We start from the raw sequence: 1,761 nt of genomic DNA, 5'->3' as shown, positions 1-1,761 counted from the left end.
CATACACACATACACATATATACATCAGTGTGTGTGTATATATATATACACATACACACACACATATATATACATCAGTGTGTATATATATATATTTAGTAACAGTGTGTGTATATATATATATACACACACACACTGATGTCTGAAGAGACCAAGTGTTTGAATGCATGAATGTAGAGCATGAGTTCTTTGTGTTATACAATACAGCTCTCTCCCTCCTTCCTTTTTTCTCTTGACCCAGAGAACATGTACAGTAGGGAAAGATTCCCTGTAGCTAGTCATGCATTCACTTTGTAATTTCAGATCAACCAATTCAAAAGAGAAACTACTGTAGCTTCAGGGCTTTCCCATATAAATGGCCAATTTCTTCCCAAAAAGGACTTTAGGAGGATAAGTGAAAAGTACAAAAAGTACTCAAAGTATCATATGATAAAGAAATAGTGTAAATGGCAAAACTAGTCCAAATCCTTGTGCTAGAAGGGTGCTCATGTATCATCTATTGACTATTTTAGAGGCCCAGAGAGTTTAATCTCTTACTCCTCTGAAACACACAATCAGATAAAGGCAAATCGGAGACTGTAACTCAGTTCTTCGGTCTTTCTCAAATTTCAGTGCATATTCTGCTTCACTCTGCACTGTTTCTTTGTTTTGCGTTCATCTAGATTGCTCATCAAAGGTACAACAAATACTTTTCTGAAGAGACTGTGTAAATCCACTTAATATAATACTAATCCCATTGTAAATGTATGAGACTAACCCTTACATTGAAAAACCCTATCTTGAATGTTTGTGTTATCAAGAAGTCAGAAGTGATAGGAATAACCATGTAACCTATTTGGATTACGAATTTGAATTTTCATATATTGGTACAATCTGTATTTCAAGGGTTATTGAATCTGCTGAGATTCCTTGTCCTCCTTGTACCACAGTCCCCTGAAAAGTTTCTGAGAGTCTCAAGGGCGCATTTCACATTTTTTAATAGACTCAGTGCTACTGCTGCTGTGTCCTGCTCCCCAGGTGCCATAGCCTCCACTATAACCCACGGCACCAGTGTCTTGGAAATTAGAATCACCTGCAGAAGTATCGCATATCTTGATGCCCAGGATGCACTCATTATTAATTAAATCACACTATCTAGGGGGTAAAAACCAGGCATGGACACTTTATTAAAGATCCCAGGTGATTGAAAGGCCAGCAAAGTTTAAAGCCAGCTGACCTATGTCTAGGAATTGCCAGCTATCCAAACTTTGTAGTAGCCTAAGGGGTAAATGGAGTAGAATTGTTTTACCTGCTTTTCCTATCATACTCTGTTCTTGGGTAAACGTGTTAGTTTCCTCTTGGCTCTCAGCCTCACATATGCCTTTTTCATTTTACCCTCTATTCTGTCAAGGGCTGGAAGCGTCCAGACTATTTTCCTGGACCCCTTTGCTCACAGGGTTTGATTAAATTCTGCCAGTGGGCAGCCTTAGCAGCTGACTAGAAGCCAGGAAGAGATAAGTAATTTTTTTCTACTCTGGCTCTGGCAGCATCTGTGATATCACCACTGATTTAAGCAGCCACCGAGGGACTGCAGACTCCTGGATTCTCACTCAGCGCTTGCAGTGATTCCAGTTGCCATGGTGTTTTAGCTCTTATGGTTTGGGGCACTGCCACTTTCCTCTCTTTCTTCTCAGCCTGAGCAGTTTTAGCAGCTTCTTGCATTTACTTGCATTTCTTTTCCCTATGGCTTCGCCTTCTAACAATTTAGAAACATTTAACTAT

The 1,761-nt window shown here is 39.5% G+C and overlaps 1 annotated feature.

The window, feature by feature from the left end:
* Nucleotides 472-672: a silencer, noted in NCBI's record as "peak6765 fragment used in MPRA reporter construct". NCBI's record gives its function as "represses an SCP1 promoter by STARR-seq MPRAs in K562 erythroleukemia cells {active_cell/tissue: K562}" and the evidence as "EXISTENCE:reporter gene assay evidence [ECO:0000049][PMID:32103011]".

This window comes from Homo sapiens, chromosome 7, assembly GCF_000001405.40.
Source record: "Homo sapiens chromosome 7, GRCh38.p14 Primary Assembly".
Taxonomy (NCBI): Eukaryota; Metazoa; Chordata; class Mammalia; order Primates; family Hominidae; genus Homo; species Homo sapiens.
Note: the sequence above shows the minus strand (reverse complement) of the source record. Positions and strands in the feature narration are given on the sequence as shown.